Raw genomic sequence first — 25,338 nt, 5'->3', positions numbered from 1 at the left:
GCCTTGCCATGACCACACTGCCTCCTTCTCAGAGTCCTGTGACTGCCACAGCCAGGTAGGCCTCCAACCTTGGGGCGGATGCCTACTCCCCACAGTCATGAACACACAAAGCATGAGTTCTAGAATCTTGGCATAGTAGAGGTGCCCCATCCCCTCTGCCTCCACATCCGTTAGAAGGAGCATTGAGGAGTAGATACCCACTTGCCATGGCCTGTGGGCCGGGGGATCTTCAAAGCCTTACATCTCCGCTTTCCTCTGCCAGATTAGATTATCAGCCGTCTATTGAAGGTAAGGCTTCAGGGGCATGGGACGGAGGCTGGAGGGGTCTGTTTGCCGGGTGCCTGTGTCGGGCTGTCCTCATGCCTGAAGGGCCTTGGTGTGTCCATGTCCTGGTGGGTGGTACATCCTCAGCAGACTGGGGACCCAAACGGTGTCAGGGCGGTTCCAATTTCAAGGGTGACCATGACAGGAGGGAAGAGCCTTATTAAAAATGGGGGAACGCAGTGGGCACAGTGGCTCACGCCTGTAATCCCAGCACCGTGGGAGGCCAAGGAGGGCGGATCACTTGAGACTAGCCTGGCCAACATGGCAAAACCCTGTCTCTACTAAAAATACAAAAATTGGGCATGGTGGTGCACATCTGTAATCCCAGCTACTCAGGAGGTTGAGGCACGAAAACAGCTTGAACCTGGGAAGTGGAAGTTGCAGTGAGCTGAGATCACACCACCGCACACCAGCCTGGGTGACAAAGTGAGACTCCATCTCAAAAAAAAAAAAAAAAAAAAGGAACAGACTAACACTAACACTAACACTAACATCCATGGAACGAGTGAGCTTGTTTGGGAGGCACAGTCATAGGAGACCCCATCTTGCGATGATGAGGAAGTGAGGCTTAGTGCCCACTCTGTATCAGCGCGGCTGAGACTGAGTGAGGTCGCAACACCCTGTGAGGCGAGCTTCACCAGCATCCCATTTCACAGTGAGAAACTGAGACTCACAGAGCTTCAGTGGTTTGCGAGTGCTGTAGCCAGAATTCAATACCTGTGTTCAATAGACTCTTTGGGGGTGAAAAAAGGATGACATGCAAATTCGTGAAGCGTTCCATATTTAAAAAAAAAAGATTAAAATTTTTTTAGAGACAGGGTCTTGCTCTGTCACCCAGGCTGGAATGGAGGGTGCAATCCTAGTTCACTGTAGCCTTGAACTCCTGGGCTCAAGTGATCCTCCCGCCTCAGTCTCCTGAGTAGCTGGGACTACAGGTGTGCACCACCACACCTGATTAATTTTGCTTTTGTAGAAATAAGATCTCGCTATGTTGCTCAGGCTGGCCTTGAACTCCTGGCCTCAAGCCATCCTCCCTCCTGGGCTTTCCAAAGCTCTGTGATTACTGGTGTGACTTTCTCCCTTTCTTATCCTTTATGATGTTTAGTTAGTAAATACCTGTAGCAATCCAGACTGGGCCTGTTTAAAATCTCCATCTCACACCTGGTTCAGTGCAGCCTGCTCTCTTCTCACCCCTGCTGCTGGGGCCAGTGAGAGTCAAGGAGGGAATGGACACACATCTCTACTCACTTCCCTACACGGTCACAAGGACTGCACCTCCAGGGGCATGGGTGGCCCCTAGAGCAGTGCAGTGTGACATTACTCTTCACTGGGGACAGGCAGCCTGGCCGACTTGTGCCCCATCACCTATCCCCTGGCTGACAGCTCGCCCCTGTGGTGATTCTCTCTTCTGCTTCTCTCCCCCAACCATCTGTTTGTGTAAACTACGGGCAAGGATGAGTCCTGGGTGATGGCTTACAACAAGCCCAGGAGGAGTTGTCTGGTCCTCATTGTTTGGGAACTCTAGAATGTGGGGTACCTGCTGACCCTGGCCTTTGGTTGCCTTTTTTTTTTTTTTTTTTTTTTTTTGAGATAGAGTCTGGCTCCGTCGCCCAGCCTGGAGTGCTGTGGCACGATCTCGGCTCACTGCAACCTCCACCTCCCAGGTTCAAGCGATTCTCCTGCCTCAGCCTCCTGAGCAGCTGGGATTACAGGCACGTGCCACCACGCCAGGCTAATTTTTGTATTTTTAGTAGAGATGGGGTTTCATCATATTGGCCATGCAGGTCTTGAACTCCTGACCTCAAGCGATCCCCCCACCTTGGCCTCCCAAAGTGCTGCAATTATAGGTGTGAGCCACTGCGCCCGGCTGGTTGCCAGTTTTGAGGCAGTGGGAAAAGCCCCTTCTCACATGTGCATGTGGCAGTGGCTGCTTATGACAGGGCTGGAAGGCAGCTCTCTCTGTCTCAAATCTGCTGTGTCCAGGGGTGTGAGGGTTGCCCTTTGCTGCCTGAGATCCTCTTTCCTCAGGGCCCTGGCTCCGGGCCTGCGGTCAGACCAACGTGTCCTGCAGGGTGGTGAAGGGGAAGCTGGTAGAGGTAGGCAAGTGGCCATGGCAGGTGAGCATCCTTTTCCTGGGCACGTACATCTGCAGTGGCTCCCTCATCCACCACCAGTGGGTCCTCACGGCTGCGCACTGCTTGCAGAGGTCAGTCAGCGGGGGCTGGGGACTTTGCTTTCTGGCCTGGGGAGTCCCTGGTGAATCTAGGGATCTGGGAGCAGGGGGCCTGGCTGGGTGGTCCTGAGCTCAGGGCCTGTCTCCTCCTTTACTTATGGCCTTACCATTGGCGACCTGCCTCCTACCCATGGTCCTGCAGATTCAAGGACCTCAGCCTGTACTCCGTGATGGTGGGAGTCCACCAGCGCCCAGAAAATAGCACTCAGCTCCCGCTCACTCGCATGGTGATTCATAAGGATTTCAGCAATCTCATGTCTCAGGACATTGCCCTCCTAAAGCTCAGGGACTCCATCTCGTGGTCCCCCTTCGTCCAGCCTGTCTGCCTCCCTAACATCAAATTCAAGCCATCCATTGGAAGCATGTGCTGGGTAATCGGCTGGGGAACTACAGGGAAAAAAGGTGAGTGAAGGCTGGCAGAGGTTACAAGACACTCGCCTCCTCAGAACACAGCCCCATCACGGGCTCCTTCATTCATTCCTTTATTCACTCATTCACTCAGGCAGCAAACATTTCCTGACCTCTTAATACAAAGATGTACCCAGTGCTCTAGTGTAAAAGACACATGTGACCTGCATGGACCTCAGTTCCCAAAGTGAAGTTAAATGAAATGCCAAGTGCTTACCCTGCAGCATGGCAGGAAGTGAATTCTTGGTTATTAATGGAGTTCCCATTAATGGCATGAGGGCCACGATCTCAGGACATACTGAGGTATTGAGGTTTCTCTATCCATCTTGTGTACTGGTTATCCTGAGGTACCCCCAAATTCCTGGAGGTCCGGCCCCTGTTGGTGCTCTCCTTGGGTCCTAGAATCTGGGAGGCTTTGTGGGGGCCTGCTTTCCAGGGGGTGCCGTCTTGGGGCTCTAGGGTCTTGGCACCTTGCCGGTGGCCATGGGGCAGAACTGAACTCTTCACCCTCATGGAACCTGAATTCCTGGAGAAATCCCCTCTTGTCCTATTTGTCCTTTGGTGCCTGGATATCACTCCAAGCCCCTTGGGACACTTTTGTGTAGTCTTTTTTAATGAGCTGGGCTGTTTCAAAAGTTAGGCTGTGGGCTGGGGCCTTTATCAATCACCATCCCAGGAAATGGCCCTCCCTCCCACCTTAGCAAACGTGGACAACTCTGTGATGGGGATGTGCCGAAAAGCAGAGGGGATGACAAGGCTGGCTCTCTGTTTCCTCAGTGACCCCAAGTACCCCCTACAGTCTTCAGGAGGAACCAAGAGGTGGAGGTTGCAGTGAGCCGAGACTGTGCTACTGCACTCCAGCCTGGGTGACAGAGTGAGACTGTCTCAAAAAAAAAAAAAGACACATGCCACGTATGTTTATTGCAGCACTATTTACAATAGCAAAGACATAGAACCAACCTAAATAGCCCCATCAATGATAGACTGGATAAAGAAAACGTAGTACATATACACCATGGAATACTATGCAGCCATAAAAAGAATGAGATTGTGTCCTTTGCAGGGACATGGATAAAGCTGGAAGCCATGATCTTCAGCAAACTAACACAGGAACAGAAAACCTAACCACCGTATGTTCTCACTCATAAGTGGGAGTTGCACAATGAGAACACATGGACACAGGGAGGGGAACAACACACACCAAGGTCTGTCGGAGGGTAGGGGGCAAGGGGAGGGAGAGCATTAGGACAAATACCTAATGCATGTAGGGCTTAAAACCTAGATCATGGGTTGATAGGTGCAGCAAACCACCATGGCACACCATACCTATGTAACAAACCTGCACGTTCTGCACATGTATCCGAAACTTAAAGTAAAATAAAAAAAGAAAAGAAAAAAGAAAAGAAAAGAAAAGAAAAGAAAATCTCCTTCCCCTGGGCTTCCATTTAGCCTGTAAAATAAGGGTAAAATACTCTTGTCCCTGTCCACAGTGAAGGTAGTGATGGCAGTCCTTCTCAGGTTAGTTTACCACTTCTGGGCATCAGCTACATGCCCAGATGTGGGCCATGTGCGGGCAGAACCTGTTTTGCATAAGTGACATTCATTCTGCCAGCACAGAATGAATACTTCTGCCACCTGCCACTTGCACCTTCTATTCAACATTGGTTTTGAGATTTATTCATATGGATACGTGCAGGTTTTATGCATTAAATGCTCTACAATATTCTCTTTTGTGAATATGCCGCAATTTACCCAAGCTCTTGTTTATTAACATTGAGGGAGTTTCCAATTTTTTCATATCAGAAACTCTGCTGCTACTCTAAGTATTCTCACACACACCTCCCTATTTACATGTTCCACAATTTCTCAGCAAGATGTATCTGCACAGGAGTGCTGGGTCATAGGCTATGTTTACCTTCATCTTTAATAGTCATGGTCAAATTGTTTTCCAAAGTGATCGTATTAATTTATATTCTAACAGTAGTATTTGAGAGTTCCTTGCTCCATTTCTTGCCAGCGTTTGGTATTGTCAGACTATAAAATGTTTTCCATTCCAATGGACGGGAAATAGCACCCGTTGCGGTTGTAATGTGCACGTCCCCAGTTACTAATGCGGTTGTGCAGTTCACATGTTAATTCACCATTTGTGATTCCTCTTCTATGAGCACTTATTCATATACTTTGGATATTTTACTATTGTTTTCCTTTTTCTTTTTTTATTTTTTAATATTCTGGATACAAGTTCTATGTTCATTGTGTATACTGCAAAATCTTCTCCCAGTTTCCCATGTATCTTTTTATTATGTTTGTACTGTACTTTGCTGAACAGCAATTTAGGTTTCATTTTAGTCAAATATATCATGTCTCTGATTTATGCTTTTTGTGTCTTATTTAATCATTCCTTTTCCCAAGGTCATAAAGACATTCTCCTATATTTTTTTCCTCAGAATTTGGAAATTACGGTTTTCACGTATTGAAACCATGTGGCATTCATTTTGGGAATGGTGTAAGATAGGAATCTATTTTTATTTATCTTCTCATGTGGACTACCAATTTTCCTAATGCTATTTATTGAAAAAGTCATTTCCTGCACTGGCTGTCACTACCTCTCTCATATATCAAGGTTGTGTAAACACAAGGGATAGTTTTTTTCAGTTGGACACTTACATAATTTATTTTTGTTCTTTCTTCCTTCTCAATACAAATTTTTGAGGCTACATATTTCCCTCTAAGTATGGCTTTAGTTTCATGCCACAATATTTTATAAAATTTCTATTTTGATTTTATTTTGACCTATGCATGGTTTTTTTGTTGTTGTTATTGATTTCCAGCTCAGTTTCCTTGTCTTAAAATTAGTTCTAAAGTGGTATCAATTATATGGAATATGCTGAGAAGGTTTACTCTTTCTAGTTTTGTGTTTAAAGAATTTAAGATCATAAAATCAGTTTTGATTTGAACTTTAAATTCATCTCTTAAATTTTCACTGTTGTGATTCCATCATCACTAGTTTATTTTAAAATATGTTCTGTGATTTTGAAAAAAAAGCACACATTTTGTTTAAAAAGTAATACGTAAGTGCAAAATTAGAAAATGAGACTCTCCTATAATCAAACTACCTAGAAATTTCTACACTAAATTGTTTGGTTTATATTCCTAACATGTCTTTCTATACATATAAAATTCTACATTAGTTTTTTTTTTTTTCTGGTTTTGATTTTTTTTGTTGTTGTTGTTTTTGAGACGAGGTTTTGCTCTTGTTGCCCAGGATGGAGTGCAATGGCACAACCTCAGCTCACTGCACTTCTGCCTCCCGGGTTCAAGTGATTCTCCTGCCTCAGCCTCCCAGGTAGCTGAGATTACAGGCATGCGCCACCACGCCCAACTAATTTGTATTTTTAGTAGAGATGGGGTTTCACCATGTTGGTCAGGTTGGTCTCGAACTCCTGACCTCAGGTGATCCACCCACCTCGGCCTCCAAAAGTGCTGGGATTACAGGTGTAAGCCACCGTGCCCGGCCTCTGGTTATGATTTTTAATAAAGGACTGTTATATAATTTTATTCTCCAACTTTTAAATTTTTACTTAAAATATATCTTGGACTCCTTTCTAGGTCTATACATATAAATATATTCCATCTTCCTTGAATAATAATTTTCTCATATGGCTATGCCACAATCTACTTAACCATTCTTCTATTGACAGATATTTGAGCTCATTTCAGTATTTTTTTACTATACCAGAATAAAAAAAAATTGAATACCTTTTCACATTTGTTCAAACATTTAGCTACAATAATTTTTTAGAAGTGTAATTACAAAATCAGTTGTATATATATTTAAAATTTCAATAGATATTTGCAAATTAGCCTCCCAAAGATTTGATCCATTTATATTAACACCAACAGTAGATAAATGACTTTTCCTGCATCATCACCAGAACTAGGTATTATTTTTATTTTAACTTTTGTCTTTTTGGTAGACTAAAACTTGTATCATATTTTTGTTGTTATTTCATGACATTGAGAAATTCTGTAAATTGCTTGTTTAATAGGATAAGTAGGAAGTTTCAATAAAGATATCAAAATACAATAAGTATCAGAATTCAAAGAGTTGTGTGACTGATATTTGGCTACATGTCTGTATCAAAGGGTCCAGAGGGTAGGGTTGGAGGTGATTTTGTGAGGAGAATTTCTCTGGAGAGAACTGCATCTATGAGCTCACCTTTCTCCCTTTAAGGGGATAGGGATGAGCAGGCTGGGGGTGCCCGTTCCACACTGCAAGTCTACTGGGAGTGGTACCCGCAGGATCACTCAGAAAGCCTGATGCGTACCCCTCAAGGTAGGGGGAGAGTCAGCTCTAAATCCCTCCAGGCTCAGAGAGCTCACAGTGGCCTGGAGGGGAGGGGTGGGGGCGGTTAAGACAGTTCTTTCCCTCTCACTCTGCTGCTGTTACCTTGGCAGGTTAGGAAGATCAGGTTAGTAAGATGGGGTAGGAGGAGTGGAAGCTACAGGGAGGGAAGCCTCCTACTTGCTAAAGCCCTGATGGCAATGGGGAGTTTTACTTTAAATCAAGTCTAACATTGTGATTATTATATGGAAATGAATATTCTGATTTCTGAAGTGAGATGTTCATATGACACTTGGTATAATCATGGCAATTACGATTACGTTAACCACAGTGGGCAAAATGTTCTGGTTCTGCCCAAGTTTTTACCAGGGGTCAAGGAAAAAACCTCACCTTCTAAATCAATTTTAAAAGAACAAAGGAAGTCCAAATAAAATGCTTGCTTCATTTAATGTACCATTTACACTTTTCCACGTCCTTTGCCCATGTTCTTCTATTAAACTACTTTTGTTTTTGTTGATTTACAAAAACTCTGGATATTCTATTCTGTAGTAACTAGTGGTAAAGGAGCATTATGTCTCTTTCAGCTTAATTTCAAATGGCTCATAAGCATTTATATATATATGTGTATATGTATACATACATTTGGAGACATAAAACATATGGTAAAACATCAAAATTAGTGAATCTGGGTAAAATATTATACTTGCAACTTTTCTGAAAGTCTCAAATTATTTCAGAATACAAATTTACCCCAAAACTTTGGGTTACTGGAAGTTTTAACCCATTGTAAAATGCTTTACAATATTTTACCCTATTTGTACCTCATTTACCCTTTTTTTCTGGTGTAGGTTTTTTTTCCCATAAGGTTATGTAAAATTTTTATGTGTTTGTATCTATCGTTATTTTCCTCCATGATTTTAGGTTTTTTTTTCCTATCTTGGCCGGGCGCAGTGGCTCACGACTGTAATCCCAGCACTTTGGGAGGCCGAGGTGGGCGGATCACGAGGTCAGGAGATCGAGACCATCCTGGCTAACACGGTGAAACCCCGTGTCTACTAAAAATCCCCCCAAAAAAATTAACCGGGCGTGGTGGTGGGCCCCTGTAGTCCCAGGTACTCGGGAGGCTGAGGCAGGAGAATGGCCTGAACCTGGGAGGCGGAGCTTGCAGTGAGCCGAGATCGCGCCACTGCACTGCAGCCTGGGCGACAGAGCGAGACTCAAACAACAACAACAATGACAACAACAAAGAAATACCTTTCCTGTCCTAAGATTATAAAATTATTTACTCATCATTTTCTAATTCTTTTCTTTAAATACTTTAAATTTTGATTCATCTGGATGATTGAGAGAGGAAGTTCAGTATTATTTTTCTCCAAATGGGTAGCCTGTTATATAAAAATATTTTGTTGAATACTTGTTTTTTTGGCTATGAATTAGAAATGCCCCCTTTATTGTATTCTAAATTCCCACCCTATTTTGTTGTCTTCCTACCATTTACATCTCTATGCTGCCACCACTCTGAAAATTATTGTAGCTTTAGAATTCTTTTTTATGTGGTAATGCAAGTCCTCCTTCATTCTCCATCTTTTAAAGAATTTACCTGCTGTTCTCCCACGTTCCTTTTCACAGTCTTAGAATAAAGTTGTCAAAAAGAAAGTCACATGGGGATTTTGGTGGAAATTGATAGATCCTTTTAGGGAAATAAAGACTTTTTATTTTGCACTATTTCTTTATGTCTATAGAGCAGGAGTTTGTAGCTTTCTCCATGTATTTACTGCATGCTGCTTCCTGAGTCTATTCCTAAATGTTATATATTATGTCCTTATTGTGAGTGGTGTATATATATTTTTAATTAATTAATTATTTTCAGACAGAGTCTCGTTCTGTGGCCCCAGGCTAGAGTGCAGTGGCGTGATCTCGGCACACTGCAACCTCCGATTACCGGGTTCACGCCATTCTCCTGTCTCAGTCTCCCAAGTACCTGGGATTACAGATGTGTGCCACCATGCCCAGCTAATTTTTGGTATTTTTATTAGAGATGGGGTTTCACCATGTTGGTCAGGCTGGTCTCGAACTCCTGACCTCAGGTGATCCGCCCTCCTCAGCCTCCCAAAATGCTGGGATTACAGGCATGAGCAACAGTGCCCAGACTGGTATATTTTCTTTTGTTGTATTTTCTGTTTTTTTATTTTAGATTTTTGTGTATTTACTTTGTAATAAGCAACCTTCCTGGACCTAGCTGATTCTCTTCAATTGAGTGGACCACAGACACATCACCTGCCAATGTGTATGTGCATGACGTGAAGAATCTGTTCAGGGAATCGACTGCACATTGAGTTAGAGCATACAGTCAGAAAACACATTTATAAAGCTGAGCGTTCTTTCCTAAAATAAAATCCTGTAAGTCTTCCTCTTATTTCTTTCTTTTGTGTAATTGCAAATATTCAGAACCGTATTCCAGAAAAATTATTATTTCCCATGAGACAGTGTGTCATTTAGTTTTAGGTGTATCTCTTGTAAACAATACAAAGCTGGATGCTATTATTTTTCAACACATCTGAGAGATTGTTCTTTAATCTATTTACCAAGAAGACTGGGGATTTTTTTTGTTCCCTCACCTTACATTTTGGTTTGATTTTTTTTTCTTCACTCTACTTTTATCCTCTAGCGGTTTAGAAGTTACGTATGTACATTTCCTTCTGCTATTGGTCACCTTGTATTTTCCACATATATATTTAAAATTGAATTGTCACGTAGTTAATCAGTGTCTACAGCCTCCTTAGCAGGGGGCCAGAGACTTCCTGCATTTTTGCTTTCTTCATTTCCATCCTCCAGACTCCCCCTCTTGTTGAAGATATCTGGGAGTTCAGCTTGCTTGACTCTTTTATTATATCGAAGAATTTTTAGTGGACTCTTGAGCTTTCTAGGCCTATGCTCATATGAGTTGTAATTAGTAACGATTTCACCTCTTTTATTTGTGTTTTACTTTTTTATTGTTTTGAGTCCCCCTCTCTCCCCAAAACAACCTAGAGTCATGGCTGTGTTTTCTCTTGCTGCCCACTTTGATGGGAAGTGCTTCTTACACTTCACCCTGAAGCATGCCATGGTGGTGATTTGGCCTGTCATCTGTTGAGGGGAGAGCCATTCCTTTCTGTTTGACCACAGCATTTGATTTCAGGAAAGAACATTCTCCTTTATACACATGTTTTCTGACTCTCTGCTCTAACTCAGGATGCAGAGTCTGTTCCCTAAACAGATTCCTCATGTCCATGCGCCCTGCATTCCAAGATCATTCCTCCCTGCTTATGGTGTACTTTTGTTTCATTCATCTGTTGGATTCAGATTCATAATATCTTTTTGTGGAGCACACTTTAATTTATTTATTCACTCAACAGACACCGTATGCTGGGCTCTGGGCCAGACATGGATAACACTGGGCTTAAGAAAGGTCTGGGCCCGGGGAACAAATGGTACCACGTGGCACAGTCCACACAGCACAATGCACACAACCTTTTTACTTTTTCCTCCAGGGACGCTGGGCTCCACTTTAAGGTATGTAGAGAGAAAGACACCCCTTTGTCAAGTGATAGTATCAGGACGATGCTTCACTTGAAAAATATTTGTTCATGTTCTGGAACATTTGAAATAACACAAATTATCTCCTTCTTGAACGCTGGATAGCAGTTGCCTGTGAAACCACATAAGCCTGTTTTCCTTTGAGTGGTTGCTCTTGGGGAATATTTTAAGTTGTTTCACCCATAGTTATTGGACTTGTCGGGCTTTCTGTCACTCTTTAAATTTGTTTAAATGATTTCTGTTTCATAGAAAAAGGTCATTTCATCCAGAGTGTAAATCCACAAAGAGGAAATTGTCAACAGTCTTGAGATTCTGATAAAGTATATTTTCCCTGGATGTGTTCTAGTTTATTTTCTACTCAAATCATGAAGTGTTTCCATTTTTCCTTCTCTTTCTGTTTTTCTTGGTAAGAGTCACAAGGTGCTTATCTGTTTTGTTGTTCTTGTTGTTGTTTTGTCTGAAACAGGGTCTCACTCTGTTGCCCAGGCTGGAGTACAGTGGTGTGATCATAGCTCACTGTTACCTTGAACTCATGGCCTCAAGAAATCCTTCTGCCTCAGCCTCCTGAGAAGCTGGGACTACAGGCGTGTGCCACTATGCCCAGCTAATTTTTTAAATTTTTTTTAGAGACAGGATTTCACTATGTTTTGCCCAGGCTGGTCTGGAACTCCTGAGCTCAAGTAATCCTCCTGCCTTAGTCTCCCAAAGTGCTGGGATAACAGACGTGAGCCACTGTGCCCAGCCTTGTTGTTTTTTAAGAATAAGCTATTGATTTTTATTTCTCAAGTCTATGATTTTTCTGCTTTGTAACACATGAACTATCCTCTTTTTGTCTTTATTAATTCCTTTTCAAGTGTCTTGAGCTGAATGTGCAGTGATAATTGATGATAATAACAAATAATTTATTTTTATTCTCTCTTGCTTGATATTAACAGTACTTTAGACCAGGACAATCTGTGTGCAGTTTAGGCCCACATCCTGTGCAATACGTGATGCTCTCTTTACTCTACATTCTAATTGTAGATTTCGTTTTTACTTTAACGTTTTGAAAGTTATTTTTTTCCTGTTGATGGAGTGACTCACATTTTGTTACTAAACTCTGGTTTTATTTCACTGAGGTGAGAGAATGCTTACCTACAGCGGATCTCTCTCTCTCTCTTCTTTTCTCATGTTCTTACTTTCTCTGGGCCCCTAGAGTCCCATCAGTCCTATCTCAGGCAAGGGCCCTCACACTATCATTGCTGGTGTGATTATCACTGGCTTCATTTTCTCCTGCATCTTCCATTTGCCCTTCCCCGCAAAAGAACATCAACTGAAATCTGTCTAATATGTGTAATTAGGCCAGGCGCGGTGGCTTAGGCCTGTAATCCCAGCACTTTGGGAGGCCAAGGTGGGTGGATCACCTGAGGTCAGGAGTTCGAGACCAGCCTGGCCAACATGACAAAACCCCATCTCTACTAAAAATACAAAAATTAGCTGGGCGTGGTGGCACGCGCCTGTAGTCCCAGTTGCTCGGGAGGCTGAGACAGGAGAATCACTTGAACCCAGGAGGTGGAGGTTGCAGTGAGCCAAGATCGCACCACAGCACTCCAGCCTGCGTGACAGAACAAGACTCCATCTCAAATAATCATAATCATAATGATAATAAAGTGAAATTAAAGATATCTGTGTCTTTGAAGAATGCATAGTGCTGCTGTGTGTGTTTTAGTTGGTATAAATTATATTGTGCTGCATATCTCCTCCTGTAGTTGTTTACTGAGGCATCTGAATTTGTTAAGGTATTCACATTAAATGGTTTTATTCTTTCAAATAATTGCCCCCACATATCCTATGTCAAATTTTCCTTTCTTCCCCAAACGTCATTTTGGGCAGAGCTCATAATTTTGAGTCACTTTCAGTTATGAAATGCCTTGTGCCATTAGAAGTTTCTATTTAAATTTAAACCTCACTTCAGGAGCCCCCCACTCTCTGGTGCTCCTGGGGATGGGGTTCCCTGCCCTGCTAGGAGATCAGGAAGCTGGCCTGGTGTAATCTCCATGGTGAGGCCATGGAAGCCTCACATCTCCCCCAACTCACTCTGCTTGTTATTTTCTTTTCTTATTTTTTTTTGAGACAGAGTCTTGCTCTGTCCCCCAGGCTGGAGTACAGTGGCGCGATCTTGGCTCACTGCAAGCTCTGCCTCCCGGGTTCACGCCATTCTCCCTCCTCAGCCTCCCGAGTAGCTGGGACTACAGGCGCCCGCCATCACGCCCAGCTAATTTTTTGTATTTTTAGTAGAGACAGGGTTTCACCGTGTCAGCCAGAATGCTCTCGATCTCCTGACCTCGTGATCCACCCGTCTCGGCCTCCCAAAGTGCTGGGATTACAGGCATGAGCCACCGCGCCCGGTCTGCTTGTTATTTTCAAGAGGTCCTTAGATATGTTCAATATTGACCTCTGGTTTGTTTTAGACAGAGCCCTATCTTAATTCATCAGTCTTCATTGAGATTTGGTGTCCTTTACTGAACAGATAACCTTAGTTTTGATGTAATCAGGCCTGACACATTTCTTCAGGTTTGTGAGTTTTGTTTTGTTCGCTTGTTTTTGTTTTGTTATTTTGAGACAGAGTCTTGCTCTGTTACCCAGGCTACAGCGCAGTGGCGTGGTATGGTTCACTGCAGCCTCAACCTCCTGGGCTCAAGTGATCCTCCCACCTCAGCCTCCTGAGTAGCTGGAACTAATTTTTAAATTTTTTGTAGTCATGGGGTGTCACTATGTTGCCTAGCCTGATCTTGAACTCCTGGGCTCAAGAGATCCTCCCACCCCAGCCTCCCAAAGTGCTGGGATTACCCGTGTGAGCCACTGCACCCAGCAGTTTGTGGGTTTTGAATCTTATTTTTAAAAATATGCTTCATCCCAAGTCATAAAAACATGGTCCTATATGCATTTTGGTTTTGGTTTTATTTTTTATTTTAGAGACAGGGTCTGGCTCTGTTGCCCAGGCTGGAGGGCAGCGGCATGATCATGGCTCACGACAGCCCGGAAATCCTGCTCTCAAGCGATCCTCCCACCTTAGCCTCCAGAGTAGCTGGGACTAAGGTGTGTGCCACCATGCCTGCCTAATTTCATTTTTGTGAAGACAGGGTCTCACTATGTTGACCAGGCTGGTCTTGAACTCCTGGGCTCGAGTGATCCTCCCACCTTGGCCTCCCAGAGTGTTGGGATTACAGGTGTGAGCCACTGTGCTGGTCTTATATGTTTTAATTAGCTTTATCATTTTTACTTTTCACATTCAGAGTTTTAATTCCTCTGAAGTTTTGTTACGGTAGGATACAACTTCGCTTTTCTCCTTCTGGTGAGCCAATGTTGCCACCATCTACCGCAGAGCCCTCATTTCCCGCAGACGTGATGCTTTGTGTGACATGTGTCAAGTGTCCTCCTGGATAGGCATCAGGTTACGGGCTCTCCGCGACCCCCACTGGGCTATTTTTTTTGTTTCTATGCCAGTACCCCACTATTTCTATAATTATAGCTTTCTCATCTTTAATTATATTTCTATAATTATAGCTTTAAAATATGTGTAACTATCTGGTAGGTCAAATCTGCCCCCAACCTGACTCTCCAATTTTCTCCCCTTTCTCAAAACCATCCTAGAATTTAAGGACTATTATCCTTCAATATCAATTTTAGAATCAGATTGTCAAGTTCCTGAGAAAACCCTGCTGGCGTTTTAATTGGAATTGCTTTGAGAGACTAATGTAAGGAGAACTGACATTGTTATGATTTTTAATTGCTTTTACTCTGTATTGAATAGACAAAAGGATATTTATAAAACATATATGGAGAATAAAGAATAACATTAGCAACATCCACGTACCCATCAGCAAGCCTAAGAAAGAGTGCCCTTATGGGCATGTTAAAGTTTCCCCGTGGCCATTCCTGTATCTCAAGCCTCAAAGGCTCTGACTGCTCCCAGTTATTTTGCTGGCTGACATTTGCTCATGGTGCCTCAACTTCCTTGTGTGGTGTGCAATGTTTTGAGGAGGGAGGACATGCTCCTTAGAGTGTTAATTATACGACTACTCTGAGGTGTGGCTTGAAAGATAGGTTCCTCCAGACAGAATCTACATTTGCTTCAGCCAGGTGCCTGCAGGTATGACCAACCCAGCATCACTTTATTTACTTACTTATTTTTAACTTTTAAGTTCAGGGGTACAAGCGCAGGTTTGTTACACAGGTAAACTTGTGTCATGGGGCTTTGTTGTACAGATTATTTCATCACCCAAGTTTTGAGCCTAGTACCTATTAGTTGTTTTTCTTGATCCTCTCCCTCCTCCTACCCTCCCCCATCAAGTAGGCTCCAGTGTCTGTTCCCTTTGTGTTTATGAGTTCTCATCATTTAGCTCCCACTTACAAGTGAGAACATGTGGTGTTTGGTTTTCTGTTCCTACATTAGGTTGCTAAGGATAATGGCCTCCAGCTGCAACCATGTCCCTGCAAAGGACATGATCATGTTCTTTTTTATGGCTGCGTAGTATTCCATGGTATATATGTACCACATGTTCTTTATCCAGTCTATCCTTGATGGGCATTTAGGCTAATTCCATGTCTTTGCTATTGTGAATATCCCAGCACCACTTTAAACCACATCCATCCTTGGTTCAGGTTTTTTGAACCACCCAGACAGTGTGAAGTCATGTTGTGAGTTCATACGAGAGTGTTTCCAGTTCACCCTCACTGTGAGGGTGTGGTCATTTTTTGAAGGCATAACTTTTTGCAGGGGTCTACTCTGAGGCTCCTCCCCTTAGTTAGGCCCTGGGTTTTGTCTTTTGTCTCCTGAGCCCATGAACAAGGCTATGAAAACTGAAGCTCAGTTTTGCTGGGTTTGACAAAGGGCCTTGGAACAAAAGCTGTCTTCTGGGCTCTACTGACCTCTATATTCTAACCCTCATTTAGGTTTTGGACTTTGAAGAGTCTTTATTTTCTTGCTAGCTTACCCATGCATTTAAAATCATAATTTTAAAAAAAGTCTCACATTTGTAGGTATCTTTAGCAATAAATTTGGTTAGGGTATCTTGTCTTCCATACTGCAGGAAGCCAAATGCTGAGAATTGACATTTTCACATTGCTTTAAGTTATCTCAGCTTTGAACAACAGTATATCTATACATTGATGTAGGTCTTTTTTTTATATTCTTAGGCACAGTTTATTACTTTTTTCCTTAAGAGTCTTTTGCATTCTTCATTAGATTATGTCCTGTAAATCTTGGTGTGCATTATGTTTTAAAAATAAATGTAATTGAGTGGTTTTTCTGATTTATAAAATTTTCTGACATTACAGAAGAGTGTAAAGAAAGTTTTAAAAAATCATAAGAAACCCACTATCAGCAGCAATAACAGCTATGACCTTTTGTTGTATGTCATTGTAAACAGTATTCTTATCTGTAAACCCATGTTTGTACAAAAAGAGGAGAACTGGTTTGCATTTCAAACAGCTCACTCTGCAAGCAGGATTTCAGGAAAGTAAAAGACCACCAAGATTTAAGGGGAAGGCAGAGGAGGGGATGGGATGGGGAGTTAGGGTCAGAATTAGCAGGAAAATGAAGACAGAGGCTGGCGTGGTCCAGTGCAGAGCTTATGTGTCACAGAGCTCATCCTGAGGGGCGGGCTCAGGCCAGGGATGCCCTCCTGCTGCCATCCTTATGCCCTCCCTCCTTTTCTCTACAGGTTGACTCTGGAAGCTCCCTTGTCTGCCAAATGGACAAGACCTGGATTCAGATAGGAGTGGTAAGCTGGAGCTTTAGTTGTGGCCAGCGCCACTTCCCAGGTATCTACACCAGCACTGCCCACTTCAACCAGTGGATCAGGACTGAGGTTGCTAACATAAGGTTCATCAGTAGGGCTGGCCCTGCCTTCCTGAGCCCAGTTTTCCTCACTGGCTACATTCTACTGGGCTCCTTGAGCTCCCTGTGGCTCCTGTGAGCGGTGTTTCAAGGACAGTCCCTCCCAGAGGCTGCTTCTCCCTCCCCTCTGTTCTACCCTCAGAAGTGGAGACGAGAGGTTGCCCAGGATGGCAGGGCAGAGTGAGGGGGAGGGTCCGAGAGCCACTGTTACTTTCTGTTGTTCAATGAAGATGCTTTTGAACTTTGAGCCACTCAAGTGATCATCTTGCTTCCTGACTTCGGCCAGAGCCCTTCACAACCTTCCTAACCCCCAAGCAGTCCTGGCTGTTCTCTCAAGCTGAGCCTTCTCTGATAGCTTTATGCCATGTCTGTCTTGTGCTTGTTGTGTGACCCTGGGAGACTGTTCCCCTCCCTCTTCTTCCAAATGTGGGACTGCAGCTCCTTCTTAGTCATCCCAGCAATCCAGTAATCCCCAGGTCCCCATGGCCCTCCCCTGGGTATGTGACAGACACTTTCCCTCAGGCCTTCCTGCGAGGCCTGGCCTCTTCCCAAGTAACTCACCATGGCCAGATCACAGACCCACAACCATGGACCATGTTTCAGAACCCACTAGCTTCTCCCTACCCTTCATATCCTTCCATGGGTCTGCAGAGCCTGACCAATTCCTCCTCCCTCTTTGGCAGAGGTAGGTGATGTGGGGATAGGGCAGAGTGCCTGCCTGGGTAATGAATGTGTGAGATCACTATGCCCTGAGCTCCTGAGCTGCCTTGGTGACCTCCATTAGACTCTACAGCACGAGCAAGGCTACTGGAGGTAGCCAAGCTGAGGACAGAGCCTTGCCCCTGTGTGAGGAATGAGGGGCTGCTCAGACCTGGTGGTCCTCAGGTGCTGAGCAACCAGCCACCCCTATCCCTTAGGGCACCTGAAGGGTGTGATTTACTGTCTTTTCAGAGATTGGAGCATGGATTGGCCAGCTCAAGTGTGTATCCCAAGACCACAAGCCTGGACACATGTTAGAATATCCTGGCTTGATTTAACTTTCACCGTACCTTAGAAAAAAATATTTTCTTGTAGAGATGGGGGTGCTATGTTGCCCAGGCTGGACTCGAACTCCTGGGCTCAAGTGATCCTTCTGCCTCAGTTTCCTGAGTAGCTGAGAGTAGCTGGGACAGGTGCATGCCACAATGCTGGATCACCTTATCTTCTATTAGGCTAGAATTTTCCAACAGCTTTGAGTACCCCACATGACTTTTTAAATGTATTACCCTCCTGTGTCACTGAACCATCAATGTGTTCCCCAAATTGTAACATGCAAAGTGACCTCCTCATCCCACAGTGGCGCAATGGTAAGCACCAGTGTTCCTCTGTGGAGGGACCCTTTGCCTGCACTCTCTTTCCTAAGCAGATGGATCTGTGGGGCAAGGGCATCTGCTGAATGGGGTGGGGGTGGGGTGTAGTTGCTTAGAATGAAGCAGTCTTTCAAAATCATTATTTAAAACACATCTATCTGCTTAATTTCAGTTCCTTGGGCAAAGCCCCACTGGAGGGGCTGGAGGGAAAGTAGGGTCACTTGGAGATCCTGGATGCCAGCCCCTGAGGTTTGGTCTTCATCTCACTGCGGGAGGGGTGACACCATGAGCCAGTCCAGGGCAATGGGCTGCGAGGGTGAGGAGGTCTGAGAATCGGCCGAGATTAAGTTGAGGGACTCCAGGAGACTGCTTGGACCAGCGGAGTGAGGAGAGGGAGGGGCCAAGGAGGGAAGTCAGCCGGGGCGTACCCAGCCCGGGAGGTATAAGGGAGGGCTGTCACTAGGGGCGCCCTTGCGGGTCAGACACCACGAGCGCCGTGGCGGGTGGCCCCTGGGGGGCGCCACGCAGGCGGGGCACTAGGAGCATCCCCACCCAGCTCACCAGAGGCCGCGGCATGCGGCCAACAGGGGGCGCCGTCGTGGGGGCGGCACTGGGAGCGCCTTCCGGAGAGACGCAGTCGGCTGCCACCCCGGGATGGGTCGCTGGTGCCAGACCGTCGCGCGCGGGCAGCGCCCCCGGACGTCTGCCCCCTCCCGCGCCGGTGCCCTGCTGCTGCTGCTTCTGTTGCTGAGGTCTGCAGGTGAGTCCCTCCCGATCCCTACCCCACCCGCCTGACGCGGCCCTCGCCTTCCACCTCTAATCCGCTCGACGTCCTCCGCAGGTTGCTGGGGCGCAGGGGAAGCCCCGGGGGCGCTGTCCACTGCTGATCCCGCCGACCAGAGCGTCCAGTGTGTCCCCAAGGCCACCTGTCCTTCCAGCCGGCCTCGCCTTCTCTGGCAGACCCCGACCACCCAGACACTGCCCTCGACCACCATGGAGACCCAATTCCCAGTTTCTGAAGGCAAAGTCGACCCATACCGCTGTGAGTACCAGGGGTGTAGACTCCGTGGGGCAAGGAGGGTGACAGAGGAGTCTTAAGGACCTTGGCTGGGGCTAGGGGAGCAGAAGGGACGGGGGCGAGCAGGATAGAGGAGCGCCTCCTTCTACAGGTGTTCATTGAGCACTAAACACCTGTGGGTCAGGCCTGGTCCTGTCTGGAGGCCCAGAGCTCTGGGTGTCTTGTCCTCACAGGCCTCCCCTCCTGCTGAGGTAGGGGGCAGGAAAGTCAGAGGGGCCTGGGGCCGGCTGTGTGTTCCCGCCTCGCCTGAGCTGGCTGTGGGGCAGGTGGCCTCTCACCCTGCTCCAGGCCCTGACACCCATCATGCCTCTGACCCAGGCTCCCAGCCAGGGACCTCTGGGATCTCCAGCACAGCTTTCAGGGCCAGGCTGTGTGAGCCTTCCTGTGGTGTCTCCAGGGTGCACACGTAAGACGTTCTCTTGCCCAGTGGCTTTCAGGCATGTTTAACAGACCCACATAAGACTGGGACTCAGCACATAGCATTTAACTGCCACAGAAAGTCACCCAAACAGGACTTCCAGTACCCTGTGCTGTGCATGCCGATGTTTTCTTGCCTATGTTATCCTTTAAAAAGGCTGGTCACGGCCCACTTACATTTACAATCCACGAATCCATTTGGAAAACACTAGGAATGGGACTCCTGAGATGTTGGATATGTGCATCTTCAATCTAGAGAAATTGTTTTCCAAAGCGGCTGCAGCAGTGAGCACTCCCACCAGCCGTGGGTAGGCATTCTGGGTGATAATCCTCACTGACACTCGGTGTCACAGATGTTGCGTTTTTGCCAGGCGGATGGTACAGAGCAGAATCTCATCATGATTGAAATCTGCATTTTCAGGCTGGAGGTAGTGGGTCATGCTTATAATCCCAGCGCTTTTGGAGGCTGAGGCAGTAAGATCACTTGAGGTCAGGAGTTTGAGACCTGCCTGGGCAACATAGTGGGACTCTATCTCTCCAAAAAATTAAAAAATAAAAAAATTAGCTGGGTGTGGTTGTGTGTGCCTGTAGTCCCAGCTATTCAGGAGGCTGAGGTGGGAAGATCATTTGAGCCTAGGAGTTTGAGGTTACAGTGAACAATGATCATACCACTGCACTCCAGCCTGGGTGACAGAGCAAGACCTCATCAGAGGAGGAGGAAAAGGGAAGAGAGAAGAAGAGGAAAGAAGAAGAAGCAGTCTGCATTTCCCTGCAGACTAAGGGCGGAGCAGCTTCTGTGGTCATTGGCTACTGGGATTTTCTCCTTGGACTATGCCCATTTTTCTGTTGGGGCATCCACTTTCCTCTCACTGAGCCACAGAAAGGGGTTCCCAGAGGAGGGAGAGAGCTCTGCCTTGGCTGAAGTAGGGGACATGGTGAGGGTGGAACCAGGTGGAAATGAGAACAAGTTAGTGAAGGATCTGATTGGAGCTGAGAGTGTGTTGGTGACGGCAGAGGGGCCAGTGGTACACTGGGCTGGTCGGCTGGGGATGCTCTAGGGCCCGGGCTGTGGGAACAGGGAGAGAGATATCTGGGCAGTGCTTGGACCCTTCTGAGGCATGAGACTCCAGTCCACATGTGGACAGCATCATTCCATGGTGACAGGTGAAAAGGGAGCACCCCTGGATGGGTGCAGGCCAGTGGCTGGAGAGGCACGAGGTCAGGCTGGGGGAGGGGAGGGACAGGGAAAGATCCATCCCTCATCAAGCTCTCACCTTCCTCCTCAGCCTGTGGCTTTTCCTACGAGCAGGACCCCACCCTCAGGGACCCAGAAGCCGTGGCTCGGCGGTGGCCCTGGATGGTCAGCGTGCGGGCCAATGGCACACACATCTGTGCCGGCACCATCATTGCCTCCCAGTGGGTGCTGACTGTGGCCCACTGCCTGATCTGGTGAGTCAAGGCTGAGGTGGGGTGGGTGGAGAGGTATTTGGAGCTGCTGTGGGCCCAGTCATCCCCTCCCTGCCAGCTGTTCTGGGCCCACAGTCCCAGCCCCAGCCTCATCTGGGCTCCAAGCAGGTGGAGGCTGAGTCCTGAAAATTCCTTCAGAGCTCCAGTCTTTTCAGTGTCCCACCGTTCGCTCCCCTCGTCTGGCCTCTCAGTCCCGTGCAGTCATTCCGCAGATGGGAAATGGAAGCTCAGAAGCCATTTGTCTGGCCTCATGCCTCCTCTCCACGGGAAGAAGCTCCTAGTTCTTTCATTTCACCCCCTTTGCACCCACATCCTTGTTCCTCCCTTCAATCAACCGTCTCTGACACTTCTTTGAGCAAGGCCCTGGCCTGGACACTGGGGGCAGAGGAGGGATGGATCATTCCTTCCAGCTTGTTGGGGGAGACAGAAAGGAAGATAGATGCTCACAAGGGTGCCTGGTTGGTGTGGGGACAAAAGAGGGAGTGTTCTGATGTTTTGGGGCCAGGAGTGCTGGCTGTGAGAGCTGACAAGTGAAATGTGTTCCAGGCCTAAGGGCCAACATACAGACTCCAAGGGGTACCCCGGGGTGCGCAGCTAGATAGCCAGGCCATGGCACATTCCATGGAGCTGGAAGGAGTAGAATTGCCTCCTCCAGGGCACAGCATGGGGTGAAAGAGTCCATGCTATGGACTGAGAGTAGAGTTTGGAACCAGAGAAAACTGGGTCCGCATCCCTTCCACTGCCTCCTAGCTATGCAGCCCTGAGTGGTTCATTGGGCTTCTCTGAGCCTCAGTTTCCCCCTCCATAAAATGAAGGGTCTTGAGGACTGGACCACACAGTGAGTGTGCAGGGCCCTGTTCATGTCTGTGGTGAGGAGTAGGCTCAGGGGGCTTGAAGCGGGTGGGTGGCCCCTCCTGGATCTTCTGGGAGGGCAGCAGAGTGGGGGAAGGCCCAGGCTGGAGGCTGGGGCAGGGGGCCTGGAGCTGATCATGGCCTCCCCTCACGGCCCCCCTAGGCGTGATGTTATCTACTCAGTGAGGGTGGGGAGTCCGTGGATTGACCAGATGACGCAGACCGCCTCCGATGTCCCGGTGCTCCAGGTCATCATGCATAGCAGGTACCGGGCCCAGCGGTTCTGGTCCTGGGTGGGCCAGGCCAACGACATCGGCCTCCTCAAGCTCAAGCAGGAACTCAAGTACAGCAATTACGTGCGGCCCATCTGCCTGCCTGGCACGGACTATGTGTTGAAGGACCATTCCCGCTGCACTGTGACGGGCTGGGGACTTTCCAAGGCTGACGGTGAGTCAAAGCCTCTGCAGACCAGGGCGGGTGCTGTGAGAAAGGACGTGGGTGCAGGCCAGGGTGCCACCACAGATGGATGTTTCTGAGGCACCTTCCCCAGGGAGCCTGCCGCTCCCGGGACCTTCCTGCCAGGCTCTCATCTCTGAGGTCTCCTTCCCCTTGAGGATCTCGTGGGGAACACCTCACTGCTGCTCCAGCCTCAGGGGACCCTGATTGCCTTTGAATCCTGAGTCAGGCCAGGGCATGTAAACAGAACTTCCTTGAAGGCAGAGAGGCACAGAGTAATACCTCACAGTCCACACCCACTGCCCAGGCATCGGCAGCTTGCAGCAGAGCACCTGAGGTCGGGGGAGCAGTCTTCTGTGTTGTAAAATGCTGCCCAGAAGGCCCACATGGCTGGCTAGGGGCCGTCTGCAGCTGGAGCTCATGGTTTCCCCTCCCCTCAGTGGGCCTCAACTCCTGGTCGTCCCAATTCAGGAGCAAGGCCCAGAGAGCAGGTGTGTTCTCTCAGGAACATCCAGGGGACCCTAGAACTGTCTACTTCCTTCAGGGGGTCCCCAGCCCATAAGAGAGATGCCCTTCCCTGTGGCCTCAAGGAACCAACTTACTCTCAAAACAGCTCAAGGGGGCTTCAGCCCATGTGGGAGGACCTGGGAGTGACTTTGTCATCCCTGCTGTGGCCTGTCTCCTGTCTCCCAGGAGCTTAGGCCAGGGACAGGGACACACTACTCAGGGAGGCAGAAGGAAGAAGCAGTGCCTGGCCTCCATGGAGGGGTCTGGGAAGGCTCAGCAGGGAAGAGGCCTGTGGGAGAAGGGATGCTTGAAGAGAAGGAAGGCTTGGCAGGCCCTCAGGAGGGAAGGAGTGGCAAAAGCCAAGAGGCCGAGTGTGGTGGAGGTGGTGTCAAGGGCCCCAGTGGCCTGGGCACTGCAGGAAGCGAGAGCAGGCCCGGCAAGGCTGGGTTGGGGGTACTCTGCTCCGGGGGCTCTGTGTTGAGGGCCCTAGATGGGTATGGGCTAGAACGAGGGCAGAGGTGTGTGGCTAAAGCAGAAAAGGTGGGACGTGGGGAACAGTGGAGAGAGGACGAGTGAGGCTGGCGGTAGTGGGCAGCGGTGAGTGGCTGCGCCTAAATGGGGCCCTGTCCCACAGGCATGTGGCCTCAGTTCCGGACCATTCAGGAGAAGGAAGTCATCATCCTGAACAACAAAGAGTGTGACAATTTCTACCACAACTTCACCAAAATCCCCACTCTGGTTCAGATCATCAAGTCCCAGATGATGTGTGCGGAGGACACCCACAGGGAGAAGTTCTGCTATGTGAGCGGCCTCTCCTCGCTCACTCCCCTTCAGGGGCACCTGGGGGAGAGGCATCTGGGGAGGGAGAGCGGAACGGTGGAGGTTGGGTAGGGGAAGGGAAGGGGGTGGGCAGGACTCTGGGATATGGGGATGGAGGATGTCGGGGGAGACTGGGAGGAAACAGATGGGGGCTGGGAATGGGGATGGCTGTTGGAGGTGAGAGGAGTGGGGGGTCCGTGGGGAGATGGAGGGTGGGTGTTAAGAGGTGGGGGATGAAACCCTTTGAGGAAGAGCTCCTGGGTCTGGAGCACTTCTCACCTATGTTGGCACTGGGGGACTGTGGAGGTGTGGTGTGAGGACATCCCGCCTGTCCTGGAGCTGGGTCGTCTCTGGCCTTGCCTGGCCTCCCTGACCCTTACTCCCCCAACCCTTCCCACAGGAGCTAACTGGAGAGCCCTTGGTCTGCTCCATGGAGGGCACGTGGTACCTGGTGGGATTGGTGAGCTGGGGTGCAGGCTGCCAGAAGAGCGAGGCCCCACCCATCTACCTACAGGTCTCCTCCTACCAACACTGGATCTGGGACTGCCTCAACGGGCAGGCCCTGGCCCTGCCAGCCCCATCCAGGACCCTGCTCCTGGCACTCCCACTGCCCCTCAGCCTCCTTGCTGCCCTCTGACTCTGTGTGCCCTCCCTCACTTGTGGGCCCCCCTTGCCTCCGTGCCCAGGTTGCTGTGGGTGCAGCTGTCACAGCCCTGAGAGTCAGGGTGGAGATGAGGTGCTCAATTAAACATTACTGTTTTCCATGCCTCCTTCTTCCCCGGCCTCAGAGGCCCCACGTTTCCTGGGCCTGCTCTGTTGGGAGTCCACAGGTGAACCAGATGAGGGTGAAGTGGGGAACTCCAGGCAGTTTACACTGAAAATTGCAGAGCCTCCAGGATCTCCCCCATTCAAAGGTTCGGGGTGGCTCCCGCAGAAGGTGGAGGGGGTGTGAAGGGGTGATATTAGGGTCAGATGATCGAGGGGCCTGGAACATACCGCCCAGGCTGAAGCTGGGGCTGCCAGGACCCAGCTGGGGTGCAGCTGTCTGGGCTGGAAAGTGGGTGCTCTTTCTGTGATAACTGTGGGAGTCGGGCTTTCCTTGACTTTGGCTGATTTCTGGCAAGAGGCTAGAACACAGCATTTCATTGCCCCAAAGAGCCATAGTGAACTTTGACCCTCTGTCTCTGTCTCCTGTCTGGAGACAGTGACAGACACCCACTGGAGTCAGATGTTATTCCAACCACCAGCAGCCAGGCCTGCCCATAAAAGGCTAGTGGTGGCCCCATGTCAGGGGAAGGGCAGGTGGAGCCTAGGCCTGGACTTCCCCAGTCTTCAGCAACTGCTGCTCTGTGTGACCCTGAGTGGCCCCTACCCCTCTGGACTTCTGCTGCCTGGCCACATGGGAAAATTCTGCATAAATAGAATGGCCTTTTTCACCCCTATGTATGAGAAGCCCATGGGTTGGACCCCAAGGGCAGAGGTCGGTCAACTGCCTCCATCTGGTGTCAGAGTCCTCAGCTTCCATGGCGGGGCCTTTGGCCATGGCTCTGCCCCTCACTGCTCCTAAGACCCCATGTCATGCGCTTTCCTCATCAGCCTGGATCACTCTCCTCCCTGTACAGTGAT

The 25,338-nt window shown here is 48.0% G+C and overlaps 1 protein-coding gene and 1 pseudogene across 2 annotated transcripts, besides 2 other annotated features; both read left to right on the top strand.

The window, feature by feature from the left end:
• Positions 1–167: 167 nt before the first annotated feature.
• PRSS46P (serine protease 46, pseudogene) lies at positions 168–17,012 on the top strand (annotated as a pseudogene). The gene is made up of 4 exons (NR_147121.1): positions 168–288; positions 2,353–2,530; positions 2,700–2,959; positions 16,592–17,012. The product of NR_147121.1 is annotated as a serine protease 46, pseudogene (transcript).
• Positions 18,571–18,640: a silencer, noted in NCBI's record as "silent region_14293". NCBI's record gives its function as "represses an Ori minimal core promoter by ATAC-STARR-seq in GM12878 lymphoblastoid cells {active_cell/tissue: GM12878}" and the evidence as "EXISTENCE:reporter gene assay evidence [ECO:0000049][PMID:35858748]".
• On the top strand, positions 18,726–24,478 carry PRSS50 (serine protease 50). The gene is made up of 6 exons (NM_013270.5): positions 18,726–18,876; positions 18,958–19,158; positions 20,898–21,060; positions 22,094–22,377; positions 23,528–23,694; positions 24,113–24,478. Exons 1-6 carry the CDS (start codon positions 18,771–18,773, stop codon positions 24,347–24,349), a joined length of 1,158 nt encoding a protein of 385 aa, NP_037402.1. The 5' UTR covers positions 18,726–18,770; the 3' UTR covers positions 24,350–24,478.
• Positions 22,419–22,668: an enhancer, noted in NCBI's record as "active region_19798". NCBI's record gives its function as "activates an Ori minimal core promoter by ATAC-STARR-seq in GM12878 lymphoblastoid cells {active_cell/tissue: GM12878}" and the evidence as "EXISTENCE:reporter gene assay evidence [ECO:0000049][PMID:35858748]".

Source organism: Homo sapiens, chromosome 3 (genome assembly GCF_000001405.40).
Source record: "Homo sapiens chromosome 3, GRCh38.p14 Primary Assembly".
In the NCBI taxonomy this organism is placed as follows: domain Eukaryota; kingdom Metazoa; phylum Chordata; class Mammalia; order Primates; family Hominidae; genus Homo; species Homo sapiens.
Note: the sequence above shows the minus strand (reverse complement) of the source record. Positions and strands in the feature narration are given on the sequence as shown.

What these genes read in the sequence shown, in the direction of transcription:
- PRSS50 (NM_013270.5), top strand. Translation starts at nt 18,771, where the DNA reads ATGGGTCGCTGGTGCCAGACCGTCGCGCGCGGGCAGCGCCCCCGGACG. An exon ending in GGGACTTTCCAAGGCTGACG is followed by an intron (nt 22,378 to 23,527) that starts GTGAGTCAAAGC and finishes CCTGTCCCACAG; the next exon opens with GCATGTGGCCTCAGTTCCGG. An exon ending in ACAGGGAGAAGTTCTGCTAT is followed by an intron (nt 23,695 to 24,112) that starts GTGAGCGGCCTC and finishes CCCTTCCCACAG; the next exon opens with GAGCTAACTGGAGAGCCCTT.